Below are 19,327 nucleotides of genomic sequence, written 5' to 3'. Positions count from 1 at the left end.
CTGGGAACAGCCAACCCTTCCTGGTGCTCCTAGAAAAGAAAAGCCACAGTCTCTTCCCATTTACAGAAAGGAAAAATCCAGGTGAGTTTGTATTCAACCAAATGCCTTTTTGCCAACATAAACTCTTTGCATTAATTTTCTGGCATCTGATATGCCTTTGAAAATTGCCAAATACGTTCAAGGAGAAGCTATTTCTGCTCCTTGAGAAATCCTCCCCTGTACTCACACAAGAGTAGCTATAGCTAAGGGCCTCTTCTTTGTCACTGGGGGCCATGCAAAGTATCTCCTCCTCACCCCCCATCACATACGATCAGTAGGTGGCTGGACATTGCCTGGGGGCAGACATAGAAATTGACTTGCACAGCAGGCATGAGTGGGTGCCATGTAAGACGCAGGAGCCTCATTCCCAAGTCTCACCCCATAAGCTGCTGCACCTAAAACCACCTTTCCTCTTGCATGGTGAGACTATCATTGCGACTTGGAGGTGGGTTTGGGGGACTTGTTCTATTGGTTCACTAAAAGTCCTTTTATTGGGACAAATGCATACTCCCATGGAAACATCTTATTACTTCGGCACAAAATAGGAGAGTGGAAGAATAATGATAACAGAACAAAACAGGAGCAGCTAAAACTATGCTGAAGGGCCAGGAAGGACCAACTTCCTTTCAGATAAGTTTGTACTTATTTTTAAAAACCTCATGTCATAATACAGGAGTGCAGCAGGTGGGGAAACAGGTTGCCCGTAGCAAGTTCTACTCCTACCCAACACTGATTAAGAGGCAAGTGGCACCCACACCATAGGTCCAAATATTTTAAAGTTATCGATCAAACTTACAAACTGCTAAATAGAATATGTCCTTTTCTTCCACCTTGACAAATATGCCTTCATAATGACTTGGACACCCAGAGCTGAATCTAGAATTTTCTTTCCCACTGGAGGTGTCAGCATGGGAAGATCCAGTCCTCAGCTCTCTGGAGGGGACAGTTTGGTGAGGGAGAATGGTCTAGAAGGTGACTGCAGGTTCTTCGTAGGCCTCTTCCTTGGGTTCCATGGATGCCTCACTCAGTGGTCTCTCTTGCCAAGGTCTAGGGATGATACTGTCCTGGAAGATAGGATAATTGCAAGAAAGCCCGTGAGTAGCTGCCCAACCTGTTGTATATGCAAAAAATTGAATTCAGCGCACTCACCCATATCACCAAGGTTGGAGGAATCTCAAAACCCTCCACAAAAGTGATTTAGCTAGATGTTAAAGGATGGATAGACCTGAGAAGGAAGGCTTAGACCCCCAGGCAGGGAAGTGTTCAAGCAGTCTGGCTACCACAGGCGTGGTGGGAAAGCGTATTGGAATTCAGAATATAAGATGGAAAAGGAAGGTTGGAAAACCTGGTGGAGAGCCTGGGTTGCTCAACTGTGGGAGTGTTTTGAGCTGAACTGCACCTCCTCCTGAGATACGTATGTTGAAGTCCTAACCCCCAGTGCCTCAGAATGTAACCTTATTGGGAAATAGGCTTTTGCCAATGCAGTCAATTTAGAATGAGGTCCTGGCAAGTGGGTTGGTCGGGGGCAGGGGCAGAGGGGTGGGTGGTTAATCAAATATTACTAGTGTCTTTGTAAAAAATGGGAAATTCAGACACAAGGACAGACACAAACACGGAGAATGCCAAAGACAGAGACAGAGGTCAGGGTGATGCGTTCACATGCCAAGGAACCCACAGGCTGCCAGCAAACCCCCAGAAGAGAGACCTGTGCAGGTTCTCTCTCACAGCCTCAGAAGGAACCCACCCTGCCAACACCTTGATCTTAGACTTGCAGCCTCCAGAGCTGGGAGATGATGAATCTCCGTGGTTTAAACCACCAGGCTGTGGTGCTCTGTCACAGCAACCCTAGCTGACTGACACAGGGAGTTTGCCTGTGCTCTCAAAGCATGGAGAACCATGAGAGGAACACAGAGGTGACATGTGGAAGTCATTTTCTGGGATGATTCATGTGGCAGGTGTGAACAAGTGGAGGGAGCATGGGTGGAGTCAGCAGTGGTGTCTGGCTGGTCTCCCAGCATCAGCAGAAGGGTCCGTGGCTCTCTGCAGGTGGAGGGAAGTGAAGGCCAGCCATGGCCGGGGTGGTTCCTGTCTGCTCATTGCCTTCCACCATGACCATTAGCACCCTGGCAAAGAGCAGAGCCGGCAACAATGGTGTTTATAGCAAGCATAAGGCCTTGGAAATGCAGAGCGGCTCACTGCACCAGCAGTATCACAGCCCCTGATCCCTTAGCCTACAATTGCCTTCTCTGTGGATGTGGTGATGGAAGTACCAAAAAACCTTCCATAAAGCAGGCCATTTAGGAGGGCCTCACATCTTCAATAGCACAGGATTCAGGGCTGTCTCACTGCAATGTCAGTGCAACAAGAATGGAGTCTGGCAGAGAAGGGAGACACCACAATGGCATCTTACCTAAACTTGCACTGTCACAGGCTTACCATGAGGGTTACGGCTACTCGCCTCCAACCAATAAGCAAATAACTTGGGTTGACTCCCAGTGCCTGTTGGAAAATCAACTTGGTTCTCTGTCTTCACATGAATGTGGGTCCATCAAAGACTTTAAGAGGAGGGGGTTATGTGAGGATGGTTGGTATGAGGAGTTTGCAACACTCTCCTAAAGCCAGGGAAGAATCAGTAAGACCGGATTTCACAGCAAGAGCAACAGCAGCATTTGTCACGTCCCTGCCTAATGAGCGTCTCTGACCTCCATCACTGTAACAGGCACCTGATATGGCAGAAATTTGATAATGCCTTGGGAACATAGGACTGAACATCTCAGGGTTTGGAACAACCAAAATTTAATTCCAGCCCATGGAACATGACAATGCACATCGCCAAGGCTCCCTGCTCATCACTGCTGCTCAGAGGCCAGGCCAAAAGGCCCCAGTTTGAATGCTGGCCATGTGGCAGGCCAAAGAGCTCTGTGTGACCTCACATTGAAAATCAAATGCACATCCTTGAGGTGCTCTCTGCTCCTATCTCATGACCACAATGAGTCATGTGGCACCCCAACACCCCAACAAAGCCAGAAATAGCAAGTCTTTGAGTCTTCCTCATGGAGAACAGAGGTCAGCAAGGTTTTGTGATCAACATGGACAACATCCCCATAATCCTGCAAGATTGGCATTATCCTCTTATTTCACACAGGAGGCTCAGAGGAGCTACGTGACTTGCTTGAGTGAACATTTAAAGTCAGGCCAATGGATTTTTTCAAGTGCATCTTTTCATTCTAATTTGCTTCTCTCTCTCTCTCTCTCTCACACACACACACACACACACACACACACTTCATACATATACCCATATATTCTCATTTCCTTTCCTTTTCATTGTGTTTGGGCAAAACAGGATTCCTAAACTTTAGATGGGTCTCATTCCTCTGGAGGTTGCTCTGTACTGAGATGTGCATCTTTACAAATTGAAACTGATCTTGAAATACTCAAAATACTGAACTCAAAATAGCTCAGTTCAAAGTTCTGTCAACATAAGAAAAAATAAGAAGACTCTAATTTTGCACCATATCTGGGAGTGCCATAATTTTGTGTAGCATCAAAAAAATTAAGAGTGAAAATAGAACAAGTCTTAACCCTTGCAAATGTTCACTCTTTGTACAGTAAAAAGGTTGTGGCTTGGTTCTTTGGGCAATTATGTCATTCCCCACAGGACTGACTGTCTGGTTCAAGTGCTGTTTTAAAACTGAGCCTTTAGTAGATGTAAGCAGGTTTTAATTTCAAGGTAGAAAATTGTTAGGAATGATGAAATCCAAGCCAGCATGTGAAATATTAGGAGTATTTGTGCTTTAACGTGTATAGCTCCATTGTCAAGGAACCAAAGGCAGTGAGGGAGGATGACTCAGAAAATACATATTCTGAATAATCCTGACATCAGAGAGAGCTGACAGGAAAATGCCTTTGATTACTCAAAGACAATTTGGAAAATATCAGCTGTCTATTCTTGCCAGAATTGCAAAGGACTTTGAAAAGATCCTTTTGGATGGAGTGGTATGAAGGGAAACAAAATCAGGGTGGGATGGTGAGTGAAGCTCTTCTAAGAAGCATTGCTGCAAAATGTCAGAGAGATGAAAAAGTAGTGAAGGGGAAGGTGAGGTTGAGACAGGAGGTTTTCTTTTGCTGCTGTTGTTTTTTAATGAGTAATATTAGATTTTGTATTTTATGACTTCAAGTGAAATGTGGAAACCTAACTTCCATTTAGGCCTCTTTATGGTCCCATTTTTAAATATCATCTTGAGTATCAGATAGTGTTATGTTGGTTTCACTCATCAAATATGGTTTCTAAAACTCACAGATAAAAGCCTAGTCTCGTTTGTGTCTCCGTCTACCTGCCTTTTCCACTGTTCCTTCCTCCTTTCCGATAACTCCAAGATTCTTCGTTTCAGCTTTTCCTTTCTGCTTGAAGAGCTACCTTTATCAATCACTTGGGGTAGGTCTTTTAGAGACAATTTTTTTAGTTGTCCTTTATAGGAAAACGTCTTTATTTTCCCGAAGGATAATTTCAGTGGGTTTAGACTTCATTATTGACAATCCTTTTCTTTCAGCCCTTGAAAAATGCTGTACCACTTTCTTCTGGCCTCTGTGGTTTCTGATGAGAAATCTGCTGTCATTTGAGTGGGTGTTTTCCTACAACTGATGTGTCATTTCTCTCTCTCTGCTTTTAAGAGTTTCTTCTGTGTCTTTGGATTTCAAAAGTATAATTATGACGTGTCTTGGCATGGATTTCTTTAGGTGTACTCTATTTGGGATTTGTTCAAAAAGCTGAACAAAATATGTAAACAAAGAAAGAGTATTCAAACACACAACAGCAGAAAGTCCCCAAATTTGGCAAAATATATAAACCTTATGTCCCTGAATACTCATTCAGCCTCATGGTCTCCTTTCCTTCTGAGACTCCCAAAATATGAATGTTGGATCTTCTGTCAGAGTCCCACAGGTTCCTGAGGCTCTCTTCATTTTCTTTTTTCTAATCTATTTTCTTTCTGTCGTTCAGATGAGGTAAATTCTATTTCTCTGTCTTCAAGACCACTGCCTGACACACTGGCAGACTGCAATTGGGGGAACCTGAATAGGATTGGTCTGTAGAATCATTGCTCATTTGAGATTTATAGTCATGATTTAAGATGAAACCAGTCAGTCCGGTTGAGTGATTGATACTTTTAAAATCAAGTTCTGCTTGGACACAGACAGAAGGAAGAAAGATACTTACACTAAAGCAGGTTAGGGTTTGGCAGGGAATTCTACTGGAGTAGAGGGCATCGGGAAGTTGATTGTAATAACAGTCCACAGAGGGAGTGAAGGGATTGTCAAATGGAAGATCTCAGTGAAGTTTAAATTGCTTTGGAATTGAAAGAATAGGAGGTAACACTCATGTTTTGAATGCTCAGAGTTGAGATCTTATATATTGGTAAGCCCAAGATCCCAGATATGATGGAGGAGTGACTGGTGGAAGTGGGAGGGAGGAGAACATAGATGAAGAGAAAGCAGTGACAGAGGAGTAGATATCTGGCCGACCACAAGACCACCACTATAATTTATCTTCCAAATGGGGAGGCATGAGAATGAAAGTGGTGCCGATGATAATTACTTCAGGACAATAGGCCTAAGCCGGGACACTCCTAGAGAAACCATGACATATGGCCACCCTAGGCATCCATGAGGTTGGAAACAACAGTGTAGATGATGATCAGAATGTAGATCATGATCAGGATGGAGTGTGCACAAAGCTGTGGCTGGATCTAGTGTCTGAAATGACTGAGAAGGACCAAGTAAGGAGACAGTGGCAATGACCAGGGCAGGGGACGGCAGAGGCCAGTGACACACATCCTTGAGCATCAGGGACTTCTGGTTAGGAGAGAGGGAGAAGAAAGGTTTGGAAGGAATATAAGAAAGAGGAGAAACCAACTCCACTTCCTAATCCTGATATAGGCAGTGTGTGAGAAAAAAACCCTGCATCTGCAGTGACAGAATGTTCCCAGAGAACAGCCAGGTGTCAAAAGGTGAGAGCAAAGATCAGAGGAGAACTTGATGGGACACAGGGCAGAATCCTGGGGACATGCACTGTACTCAGGCTGGCCAGAAGATGGGGGTGGAGGGGAGGGATGCACCGTAGGGTCAGATGAGAACTTGCACAGGACTTGGGGGCATGACATTTGGAGTAGCACCCTCGGACGTCTATTGGGGATGGATGTAGATGGGGATGAGGCATGTGAGCCACAGATGGGATTGATCAGTCTGAATGCTGAACTCAGTCATGTGGCTCCTATCATGCTGAGCAGGAGCCAGGTGGTGTCCACCAGAAGAGCCCATGCTGTTGTGAAGGCTCAGGGTGATGTGTTCCAGAGTAATCCTGGCCTTCTTCATGCCATCTATTAACTCAGCATTTTTCTTTAAATCCTAAAGGGAAGCTACTTGGGAGTCTGAGGTGGGAGGAACACTTGTGTCCAGGAGGTTGAGGCTGCCATGAACACTGATAGCGCCAGCACACTCCAGCCTGGGCGACATGGCAAAACCTTGTCTCAATAATAATAATAATAATTATTATTCTAAGGTAATGCTCAGTTTCTGTTTTGTTCTCCAGGCATATTTTGGTTTACCTTTAAGTGAGCTATGGTGTCAAACATGTCCTCCTTGCCCTCAGGCTTTATTTTCTTAGAATTTGGGGATTTAAGACTCACCTGTTACAGCAATATAACCAAAAAACAAATTTTAAGTAAGCCTACAGGATGCTATTTGTCTGGCTGGCTGAAAAAACCTAAGTGTTCTGAGAAACCTTTCCATCACCACCAGGCATGGAACTGCTACGGAGAAACTGCCAGATGGGAAAGTGTTCATTAACAAGACTTTAGCATGTCGGGCTGCACGATATAAAAGAATATTGATGTCTTCCATCGAATGCATCTCCCAAGAGAAATCAGAATAAATAAAACCGTCTCTTACTGGCTCCAGATAAAAATTTCCTGATTTCCCAAATCACATTTGAAGGGAACAAGGCAGGGTAAATTCTGTTGGTCCCCATAATGTGGTCAGGACTTGGTGAGCAGATGGAAGGAAGGGGATGCAGTTTCCAGGAGCTGCTCCTCCCTGGCATCTATTCTGTGTGAATGGCAGCCTCTCAGACAATGGTTGTGAATGAACCTAGTTTAGGATGCTGGTCTCAAAACAAATCACTTTCTACCTGCCCATCCTCCCTAAGTCATTGAAGACACTTATTATTAGACAGATTCCTAAATCCTGAGTGTTCTTCTTCTAACCTTGTGGAAAAAGTTATAAAACTGGAAGCTCTAAATATTTAAGAACAACAAGAGTTATTTTAGCTGACTGTTTAAATTTTTCTTCGTGTTTATTTAATTTTCAAAGGCCCTCCATCATTGCCCTGTTAGCTGCTCCCACCTCCTAAGCCTGCTCAGTCTTTGTGACAGCTGATGATGGATTGTCCCTATAGACAGTTTAGTTAGCAATTGCAGATTGTAAATGGCACTCGTTCTTCCAAATACTTCAGTCGTCTAGCCATGTACACCAGCATCATTCTGCAGCACACGAATGAGGTCATGGCAATTCTAAAGGTGCCTGTTACCTGGGCATCCACTTCAACACCCACGTGATCCTAATGCTCTGAGGAGGTGTCAGGCACTGGGAATTTAGAGATGGAATACACAGCCCCCATTCCCACCATCTGGTGAAGGTGCACACCTGCTTTGTGGTCCCTGTCCTTAGTGTCTTTCTGGGACCCAATTTTAATGACCACATGAAATCCCATAGCTTGTCTGTCTAATTTCCAATGTTCGCCTCTTTAAACTGTAGTCTAGCTACACTTATCTGCTTATATGGTTCCATCTCTATTGTATTTCATCTATCCAACCCTTTTGTGTAAGAAGGCAGGATATGAATGAATTCAATGTAAACAGATACTTTCAATACAACTTGATAGCTGCTATAATAAATGAATGCCTGGAGAGATTTCAGAATCCTGGGGACTTGCACTGCACTCAGGCTGGAGATAAGGGAATGTCTTCCCTAAGGATTTCATACAAATGAAGGGTAGTGTGTAAAAGGGTCAGCTCTTGAAGACATGCTTTCATGTTGCAGTAGCTGGGAGCACTTCTGTAAGGGTGCTGTATACCGCCAAGGTAAGCAAATGGCAAGGTGGGAGTCTGGATTGGAGGACAGATCTCTGATCACAATCAGTCCTAAATGCCATTGCTAGAAAATATAAATATCGTCCAAGGGTGCAGGGCAGTCATTAAAAAGATGCAATGCAGAAGGGTGGCATCATCAGATCTGCACCTTGGGAAGATCCTTGACATCGAAGGTGAAAGGAAAAAGAGAAGGATTCATTTGCTATTGCAGAAATCACTTAGGAATTCATGCTGTACTTCCACTGCAGGTAGTGGTAGGGTAGGTAATTGGGACCATCCCCAATTGAGATTGGGATCCCACTCCAAGGAATGCACCCTAGGTTTCTCAGACACATACCAGGGAGTGGAACTGCAGTGCGTCCTGAAGGCAGTGGTGTTATGATCCACTCTAAACTAGGAACGACCTAGTGTACCCCAAGTGACAAATGGGAAAAAAGCATGCTCTGTATTAATGCCATGGAACCCTACACAACAACGACTGTGCTTCGCTGCATAGATGAATCTCAAACTCATAACTGTGAATGAAAAAATAAAATGAAATGAAAATGAAGGAAGAGAATACATACCGTTCACAGAGAGGGAAATTCAGGGCACGTGTCAGAGAGGAAACTAGGAGAAAAGTAAAGAAGTGATCACTCTTAAACTGGTCTAGGGATTGCCTTCAGAAGGAGGAAGAGGATGTTACCCAGAAGAGAAAACTCAGAACCTTCCAGAATTCGAGGAATGTTCTTTTGCTTGACCTGAGGACCGGTTACTTGGCTGTTTCTGATATACTATGAGGTTGGTGCAAAAAAAAAAAAAAAACAAAAAACAAAAACATGATTACATTTGCACCAACCTAATATATATGTGAATTTTATGCTATTTTCTTGAGTGTTGTATGTCATGGTTATTGTAAATGGTTTTTTAAAATGTGAATGGTAAGAAAGGGTGGGAACCCGTAATAAAGTAATAAAGTGAGATATTTTAGAACAGAATCCGTAGGGTTGGGTGAGTGACTGATGGAATCGAGAGGCTAGGGAGCAGCACCTAGAATCACCCTGAGGTGTGTTATTGAACAGCAGGTGGGATGGTGGCTTTACTCACCACATATGAGTTATGTGTGTAAAGGGTCAGCTTTAGGAGCAAGTCTAGTGGACTCAAACAGAGGAAATCATGAGTTAGGTTTTAACTTGTCTAGATCCAGATGCTCAGGTCTACTAAGAAATTGGATACTGGCCTAGGGCTTGAAACAAAAGTATGGTTATGAGTTTTCGATTTGAGAGGCATCAGCATTGGCAATCAACATAAGACGTCAAGAATGCAAATGGCTAAAAAGTGTGTGTGTGTGTGTGTCTAGATTGATTAATAGAAAAAATATATAAAATCAACATAAAAAGCTCTTGAAGAACTTCTGGAGTCTAAACTTCTAGTTTGTAGTGGAATGGTGGAGACAAAAACAGTATATTACAGAGCTAGAAATAAAGGATCAAAGTGAAAGAGGAGAACAAAATAGCTGCTTTTGAAGGTCCCTAAAGGGAAGGAGAGGGGAGGGGATGTACCTATGAAGGGGTATGAGTTCTCAGGAGAGTTCTTTCTGGTCTGTCTTTAGCTATGGCAGAGGCTGTTACTACTGGGCAGAGAAGATAATGTTGCAGAAGGGGCAGGAAAAGATGGAATCCAAACCTCAAGTGTTGGTGCTCCTCTTGAACAGGGAGAGAAACACCCTCTTACTGCGGAGAGAGGAACAGCAGCTTGGACAGCCGATGCAAGAACAGGAAATGGGATCCTAAACCTTTCTGGCTGATTTTAGATGGCTGCAGGAGGACAGAACGTAGAAGTCCTAGGAGATAAAATCAACAACTTAAACGACTTTGAGCAACTTCACTCCCTTCCAATCTCAAGTCTGTGTACTTCCAACATTACAATTTATGCGAATTGCCACTTTGTAAGGGAAATGAATATTTGGGAAAAGAAATAGTGTAGCATCCATGGTGACCTAGTTGTTGTTTCTAAAATCCAAATAATTTAAGTTTTGCAAAACACTAGTGTGGTCAAAGAACAAATATGCACAGTAAAAAGCAGCAGATTTCACTTTAAATATGAAATATTGAAAGAAGAAATGAGCAGCGTTGCATCTGCTCTTTCTTTCTTTTATTTCTTTCTTCTTTTTGTTTCTCCTTCCTTCCTTCCTTCCTCCCTCCCTTCCTTCCTCCCTTCCTTCCTTTTTCTTCCTTTCTTCATTTTTCATTTCTTTTTTTTTTATTTAGAAAGTATGCATTGTTCCAAATTTTCCCTTGAAGTCTATTCTCAGGTTTGCAGTTGACATGTACAGAAAAAGGAATTGATAACCTCATGAGAAAATGGAAAAAGAAAACAGATGCTTATTACTGTCTCACAGCATTGCTGTCCCCAAATTAATTAGACCAGGAAGCTTGTAGGTTGACAGCTTATCTACCTTTTAATTCTGACCAAGGCAAGACTGAAATTCCTTTGAGAGAACAGGGGCGAGGGGGCCACTGAATGTATTACAAATGACCTGCCGTTTGATGTGTTACCAAAATCACTGTCAATTTTTTATTCACCTTGGATGAATTGTATTGCAGAAAAGACACATGCATTTAATTACTGGAAGTTTGGAATCTAGGGATAAATTTTCATGCATTCATTTGCCATGATTTTGAAAAACAAAAACAAAGTAAAAACTCTAGTACTACAAACAGTTTAGAAACCAAAATGAATCACGTTTTCAGAAAACAGACCCACTGGATGGTAGAATTAAAGGTAATTTTAATTTGCTTCTTTATGCTTTTGATTATTACATGATTTTCTTTTTCAGCAAGTATTGTAACTTCTATAATGGAAAGAAAGAAAAAAGAAAGCAGCTACAGTAGCCACATTCTGGATTGCCTTCCACTCAACCAACCCAGTCAGATGCCCCACTGGTCCTCTGAGATGCTTGCACACCTGTGTTCCAACTAGCTGGGCTGCTGTTGTCCTATCCTTGTAGAGCTCCTGGATGCTGACATGCACCTACTTTGTTGGACTCACAGGCATGGACTTCAGCAGCTGAATGGTGTGCTTAGTGTGAAGGATATTAACACAGAGGTGTGCAGTGGGCAGAAGGGCCCTGCACACAGCCAGATCCTCCTGCCAGCTGAGGACACCAGACGAGTTGGCAAGAAAGCCCATGCCACATCTAAAGCCCTGATGGTGCCAGGACGATGTTCTCCAGGACTCACCAGCTGCCCTTCCTACATCTGGCTGGAGCATCGCAAACACTTATCTGAACATATCCAGCTTACATGGGTGAAGGACTTGAAGGACTATGCTAATGGCATTCACAGTCTGGGTATATTTCCACATCAATACCCATGAAGCCCTCAATTTAGGTTTCCCAAGAACTGGTTGTGCTTTTGCTAAACGCGCTTATGCTGCTTCTACTTGATATTGGTATTAATTCAGATAAGCCAATAACAGCGGTAATAAATACTGAATGAGTGCTTACGGTGTGCAAAGCTAACAAAATTCATTTAATGCTCATAACAATTCTACTATGTATGTACTATTGCTTTTTTTTCAGATGTAGCACATCTGAAAGTAACATGCCTAAATTCACATGGAGTGCCAGGTTCAAAACCCAAGTGGTCTGGTTTGAGTTTCCCCCTGAAACACCATGAAGAACAGAATTAAAGCAGTTGGGCTGTGTTGCATTTTTCCCTCTATTATGGGAGGGTGAAGGGAAGGTCCTAGAGGAAATAAATTAAGGCATAATTCTGGGCTTTGGGGCAAAAAGACTAATAATATTTTGCTTGGAGAATATCTATCTGTGGAATACTTCAAGCAAGATATCCATGACTTACAACGGCTTGTGTAATCAATTTACATTCATGCAGCATGGCTTCTGGGGAGAGGTCACACAGGACTCCCCTCTAGAGAGTATCCAATGAACTCATAACTTACGGTTCTCCCCGTTATGTACTACAGTTGTTTTTGCATCTCCTGCAGCTTCCTGTTAATTCTTAGTCTTGTTACCATTCAGGTGAAGAGTTCAGCAAATGCTTGTCTTCACTGCCCCCCTCCTTCCCACCCTGTTCTCTGCAAATGCTGTCCCCATCTCCCCAGTCCTTAGGTCCAAAGTCTGTTTTTAGGTCTGTGAGATTTCTGAAAGCTCTGCTGGCTTCTGGGCCTCTCCACAGCCTGCTTCTGTCCAAGATGGTGATGTTCTCGGCCTCTTGCCCCATCTGCCAAAATTAACAGATGTTCCAAAGTAACAAGCAGCCCATTAAAGCTCCTCTTCATGCCACACACTCCTCTCGGATGTGGGCTCTGAGGAAGTGGCTCCTGGGAGCTGCCTCTATGGCTCTTCAGGGCATTTCAACAGCTTCTTACATTTTATCTGGCTTTTTCAGTGGCTCTGGGCAAGAACATTGGTCTGCTACAAACTATTTCATCACAATCAGAAGCAGAACTCCTATATTTCAATTTGGAAAAAAAAATAAAAAAGAAGTGACTTATCTACTGTAGTACTTCTACACGTTTTAGGTTCCACGAATGCAAATATATTTCATTTTCACTTTGAGTTTTTTGTTGATACAAGGTTATTGTTCTTGTTTTGAAAAACTCACATGATCTTATTGTCCCTAAAAATAAGACAATTACTCTACGGAGTCATGAATTGGTAGGGCTGGAAGGAAACTTGGGGAAATTTAATAAAATGTTCTCATTTTTAAGGTAAGAACTGATGGGCCTAAAACACAGAAAACTGAAGCATGATAAAGCCTCAAATGTTTCTTCTACTTCTCTAGCTTTCAAGTTCTTTTCTCTCTCTTCATGTCTTATGACTTCAAACATTTGAAAAAATAGTTCATATGGGTCATGAATGAAGTCATCACGTGACTTAGCAAAATGGAGGGTGAAATACCAAATAGAATGTCCCTGTACCTCTGGCCTATTTTGCATATGCTGTTGTCCAGACACCCCTATGGCCAAACAGAGTTGCCACTGAGCACCCCTACCTGCAGACATTTGTTTACACAAGAGATCCTCTAACCCATAGGTTTAGGGAAAAGCAAAGGTGCTTAAGGCAGCCAGCATTCTTCAGCTCTTGGACTTAGAAGCAGGAGCAGGGTCTCAAGCCCACAAAAATGTGTTGTGTGTGCTGGGCCTACCTAAGCCCCCATGCTGGGGAATACAACAAAGTGTTGTAGACTAAAAGAAACAGGAAAGAAGGACATCATCTTCATCTCCTTCCTCCCTTACTTCCTGCTTCCAATTCACCCCCAAGTCCCATTTTAATTGCAAAATTAAAAAATAAAATTAAACTATATTTAAAATTAAATTACATTAAATATATTAAAATTAAAATTAAAATATATTTAAATTGCAAAATATATCTCAGGTTCCCCCACTTTTTCCCAGTACCACTGCTGCAACCCCAGATCCATCCTTCTTTATCTCATGCCTGGACTGTTGCAGTAGCCACCTAATGACCTTCCTGCTTCCATTCCTGTTCCCCTTCAAATTATTCTTCTCCCACGTTAATATTTTGTAACATATCTACAGTCTTGCCACATCCTCACTTAAATTCTTCAGAATATGCTTTGCATATGGAATATCCTCCAAGTTCACACCTTGGTCCACCCTTCCCCCTCCATGCCCATCTCATGCCACTGTCCCTGCAGGGCACCTGCGTTGTGCACCTGCCATGCCAGCCTCTTCTGTGCCTTCTGTATGCTTTTTTCCACTTCAGCATATTTTCTCTAATGAGAAGCCCTGCACCCACACCAAAAACACTCATGTGCATGCCTTGCTCCATACCCTACCAGTCTCAGCTTAACTATCATCTTCTCAGTATACCATCCTTGACCCTCCCATTGTCTCTGTCATTGACATGGCCCATTTTTTTCAGAGCCTGTCTCACACTCCTATTCCTTCACTTTATATTCCATCTAAGCCATTCATGTTTCATGATGTCAGGAGCATGTCCATTTTACCGCCTTTTGTGAAACAAGCCCCCTATTGCCTGGCGTTCACTAGGTACTCTCTAACGGAATGCACTTATGGATAAATAAATGCAGGAAGATATGGGAGGATATGCTCTTCACTTCCAGAGTTGACTGGATTGGGTAAAGTTTTCTTCCAGAAATACTGTTCAAAGGTCTGGAATGACTTGCCAAAAGATGGAAGCAACCCAAGTGTCCATCGACAGATGGGTGGAGAAACAAAATGTGGTCCATTCATACAATGGAATATTATTCAGCCTTTAAAAACATGGAAATTCTGACATATGCTATGTAACATGGATGAACCTTGAGGACATTATGCTCAGTGAAATAAGCCAGCCACCAAATGACAAAGACTGTATGATTCCACTCATAAGAGAAAAGTCAAATTCACAGAGACAGAATGTCGAAGGGTAGATCCCAGGGGCTGGGGCAGTGGGGAAACAGGTGGTTAGTATCTAGCAGACATAGAATTTCAGTCTTGCAAGGTGAAAGCATCCTGGGGATTGGTTGCACAGCAGTGTGTATATACTTAACACTGCTCAACTATACATTTAAAAAATGCTTAAGATGGCAAATTCTACATCATATGTATTTTACCACAATTATAAACAAAAATGTAAAAAAAGTGATGAATGACATAAAAACAGACATTCTACATATTACATGTTTGTAAGAATATAGAGAAAGACATAGGTCTCCTGACCTGGAGAAGGAAGATTGAGGAAGGATGAGAGGAATCTTAAGCATTTTATTTATACTGCCTATATTGTTTGATGATTACAATTTGTTTGTTCACATTCTTAGAAAAAAGTCCTCAATAAAGCCACAGATCCCATGAGAAAGTGGCAGAGGCACAAGTGAAATCAGGTTTTAAATGCATTCCTTTTACTCTCTTACCAGTAGACACACTCACAACTAATTTTTCATAACAGGCCATGTCACAACACTGGATAGGTTCTCTTGGCCTAAAAATGCCTATTTTGGTCACATATTGTATGGGCCTTCCAGTGAAGAAAGGGACTTCTCACCCCTGTCGAGAGAAATAAGTGTACTAGACTCATTGAGTAGCAATCCCCAAGTTGGAGAATATTCCTGAAGAGAAACTTCAGGAAACTGCAGGTCATTTTTTGCCCCATGTACTGATTAAAGCCCAATGCCCATGTAAGATGTATAGAGGTCTAACCTGCTACCCCACTGAAAGAACGAATCTCATTTCTCCAAAGTAATATTACCAGCAATGCAGAGCCTCCAGAACAAGTGGGCAGTAGGTATTTGAAGTCTGCCAAGGGGAGTTTGTAAGTTTATTTTTTTTTCTCAGGAGTAGGAAAATTCTATTCTACCCTACTGTTTCAAACGCAGTTTCAGGATGAGTAGATTTTCCTGCTAAACTGCTGAACATGATTTATTTGTTTTTGCTTTTGTTTTTTGAGACAGGTTTTCTCTCTCGTTGCCCAGGCTGGAGTGCAATGGCACAATCTCAACTCACTGCAACTTCTGCCTCCTGCGTTCAAGAGATTCTCCTGTCTCAGCCTCCCGGGTAGCTGGGATTACAGGCATGTGCCACCACACCTGTTTAATTTTGAATTTTTAGTAGAGACAAGGTTTCACCATGTTGGTCAGTCTGGTCGCGAACTCCTGTCCTCAGGCAATCCATCTGCCTCGGCCTCCCAAAGTGCTGGGATTACAAGTGTGAGCCACCGTGCCCAGCCCCTTAAAGTTATTAATATACGGGCCATCTCCCTGTGCAGAACTCCTGTGTAGAGATGGCAACGATTCTTGCAGCAGGGATAACCCCTGGATTAGGAAAGAAGGGAGGGAGGGAGAAAGGAATAATAGCATGCACCAGGTAAACAGGTTGGAAAGGGGGGTAATTCTGGACAGATAATCGTATAATAATCATGGTCCTTTAAGAAATCTTATAAAATAAGTGCTGCTTAGCACAAGATGTGTAGGAAAGGGAAGAAAGTTAAATGAGGCATCTAGACCCAGGCATCTACAAATTTGGCAGAAGCTTCATTTGTTTTGAAAATTAAAAGAAAATAATTTGTGGCCAGGTGTGGTGGCTCACGCCTGTAATCCCTGCACTTTGGGAGGCCAAGGCAGGTGGATCACGAGGTCAAGAGATCAAGACCATCCTGGCTAACACGGTGAAACCCCGTCTCTACTAAAAATACAAAAAATTAGCCTGGCATGGTGGTGGGCGTCTGTGGTCCCAGCTACTCGGGAGGCTGAGGCAGGAGAATGGCGTGAACCTGGGAGGCAGAGCTTGCAGTGAGCCAAAATCACGCCACTGCACTCCAGCCTGGGCGACAGAGCAAGACTCCATCTCAAAAAAAAAAAAAAAAAAAATGGTGCAGCACACCAACATGGCACATATATACATATGTAACAAACCTGCACGTTGTGCACATGTACCCTAGAACTTAAAGTATAATAAATATATATATATATATTTTTAATTCTAAAAAATAAAAAAATGTAAAATTTAGGAAGAAAACTCCCTTTGGAGTCTTAAAATTTTGTGTTAGCAATTGTTTAATTTCTAATTAGGTTAAAATTAGGAATTATCAGGGGTAACTTTTGTACTCCTAGATTTTCCCAACCACTCAAAACTTACGTTTTGTCTATTTTCAAGATTGATTGTATTTTAAAAATCTTTATCTGTAGTTATGTTTGACTTTCGTTTCTAGTGTTGTTTATTTGTGACTTACCCCCTTTTAAACTCCATTTTGCTAGGACTGGTCTGCCGATGCTTGCAGCTATCACCTTCTGAATTCCCTTCCTTCCCCATCTCCTAAGTTTGCTGGGTTGTTCATTTTCTAGTCTTCTGAGTTGGATCTTGGCCTGTGAATGTCCGTATTTCTTTTTTGGCTTCATGTTCCTCTCCACACACCTCTAGCTGCATCCCACATGCCCTGACGCAGGGGTATTTTCAGTGTCATTCAATGCTAAGTATTTTGTCCTCTGCAATTGCCATGTAGCATTTTCAGTTTCATCGCAACAAACCAGGATTTTATGACATGAGGGCTTCGTGTCTGTGAGACACGCACGTGTACGGCTGTTCCCACTTCGCTCAGCCCTTCACCCTCGCCAAGCCCTGGTCTTCTCTTTGGGCCTGGTCTTGTTTTCCACACAGATGCCTGGACGGAGCCATGTGTCCTGGCCGTATTGCTGGCCCACTGGGCAGAGTGCTCAGTCCCATCACCGAAGCGGCAGCGCCTGCAGCCCTGCCTTCATGGGACACAGCTCCCGCCTGCTCCTTGCTAGTGTCGACTAAAGGTAAAATAATCAAGCTTTTAAAGAATTAAAGTGAGTTTTATTCAGAAGTCTCGTCGAGGGCTACACACAGAAGCCAATAGCCTGGGAGCAGCTCTTTAGAGAGGATCTATCAATGGCTCTGGCCAGGGTTTCAGCCCATAGCTCAGATACAGGTGGTAAGGATTCAGTACGAGCAAAATCCCATCAAACTTGCTCAGAAGTTATATTAAAGCAGAGCCAAATCAAGGCTTAAGTGTAAGAGTACACTTACAGGTTATACTTTACAGAGGCATAATCACTCACTGGTCAGACATTATTTTCTTTTCTGAGACAGAGTCTCCCTCTGTCACCCAGGCTGGAGTGCAGTGGCGCAATCACGACTCACTGCAGCCTCAGCCTCCTGGGCTCAAGTGATCCTCCCACTTCAGCCTTCTGAGTAGCTGAGACTATAGGCATATGCCACCACGCCCAACTGGACATTATTTTATGTGTAGGAAAAGGCAAGGACTAGGATCATGTGTGTTTTGACTATAGGAATGTAGGGACTCAGGTGAGAGACATGGAGGTGCTCTGTGCTCTATTCTGTTTTGTCTTCAAAGCAACCCACCAGAGAGCTCCACGTTGTCACAGTGTCAGGGGCTTTGTGGAATTATGCTGGCCAGCAGAAATGAGCAAATGTGGCTTCTTACCTGTGCTACTGTGTCTCACAGTGAACAAGGCGGCCATGTCCCTCTCTGAAGCCTGCCCGGATGGACTCCACCCCCGAATGGACTCCACGCCTGACCAGCGCCTAGAGATTGCGGGCAGCAGCTGGAGTTTGCCACTCCAGGGCTCAGTGCTCTTTATGCTTTTGCTGCTGGGCTCTTGTGCGTATTTTTGAGGCATCACATTTTATCCACATCTTCATGAATTTCTCATAGGAGGAGGTGGGCTCATGTGAGCTCCTACTGCCCTGTGGTTACTGGAAAGTGAAGCCCTAACAGCCACCTTCCTCTGCCTCCACCTATTTGAGATCTCAGTAGGATTGGCAGTGTCTCTACACTGGGAACCTCACTTTCCATTTGATTGATATTTTTGAAGGATGAAGAGAAAAGGAGAAGATTGTAATACATGGGTGAGGATGTGTACATATGTGTGTGTGTGTGAGAGAGAGAGAGACTAACTAAATCCTTAGTGTCCAGGGAAAAGCCTAATGCTGGAAAAACAGAGTAATGAAGCTGAGCTCCCCCTCTTTCTCAGCAGCTTTATTGATTTACAGTTGACATACCATAAAGTTCACCTTTGTAAAGTGTATGGTTCAACCGTTTTGAGTATATTTACAAAGCTATGCAATTATCACTGCTTTCTAATTTTAGAACAATTTCATTACCTTGTACCAAGAAGAAACCTCGTACCCACTAGCAGTGGCTCCTCCTTCCTCTGCACTTTGCCTTCTCCAGCCCCAGCAACGCCTACTCCACTGTCTGTGAATTTGACTCCCCTATTACCTCATAGAAGTGGCTTTTGTGACTAGCTTCTCTCACTTTTTGGCTATGATTAATAATGTTTCTATTAATACCCATTTACAGGTTTTTGCATGGTTGTGTGTTTAATTTCTCTTCATGTATACCTAGCAGTGGAATTGCTGAGTCATATGGTTACTGTGTTTAACATTGTGAGGATCTAACCAACTGTTTTCTAAACAAAGTGGCTTTTTAAAAAAAAAAATAATTTTATTTTATTTTTATTTTAAGTTCTGGGATACATGTGCAGGACGTGCAGCTTTGTTACACAGGTAAACATGTGCCATGGTGTTTTGCGCACCTATCAACCCATCACCTAGGTATTAAGCCCAGCATGCATTAGCCATTTATCCTGATGCTCTCCCTCCACCTGCCCCTAACCACAGACCCCAGT

General features: G+C 43.0%; 1 long non-coding RNA gene across 1 annotated transcript, besides 1 other annotated feature; it reads right to left on the bottom strand.

Moving 5' to 3' along the window:
• Nucleotides 1-797: 797 nt before the first annotated feature.
• Nucleotides 798-18,868, bottom strand: LOC101927847 (uncharacterized). Its single transcript, NR_109791.1, has 3 exons — nt 18,801-18,868; nt 9,852-10,008; nt 798-1,103 (listed from the first exon to the last, which is right to left on the bottom strand). It is a non-coding gene; the product is annotated as an uncharacterized LOC101927847 (long non-coding RNA).
• Nucleotides 18,779-18,828: an enhancer, noted in NCBI's record as "active region_28562". NCBI's record gives its function as "activates an Ori minimal core promoter by ATAC-STARR-seq in GM12878 lymphoblastoid cells {active_cell/tissue: GM12878}" and the evidence as "EXISTENCE:reporter gene assay evidence [ECO:0000049][PMID:35858748]".

Source organism: Homo sapiens, chromosome 9 (genome assembly GCF_000001405.40).
Source record: "Homo sapiens chromosome 9, GRCh38.p14 Primary Assembly".
Lineage (NCBI taxonomy): Eukaryota > Metazoa > Chordata > Mammalia > Primates > Hominidae > Homo > Homo sapiens.
Note: the sequence above shows the minus strand (reverse complement) of the source record. Positions and strands in the feature narration are given on the sequence as shown.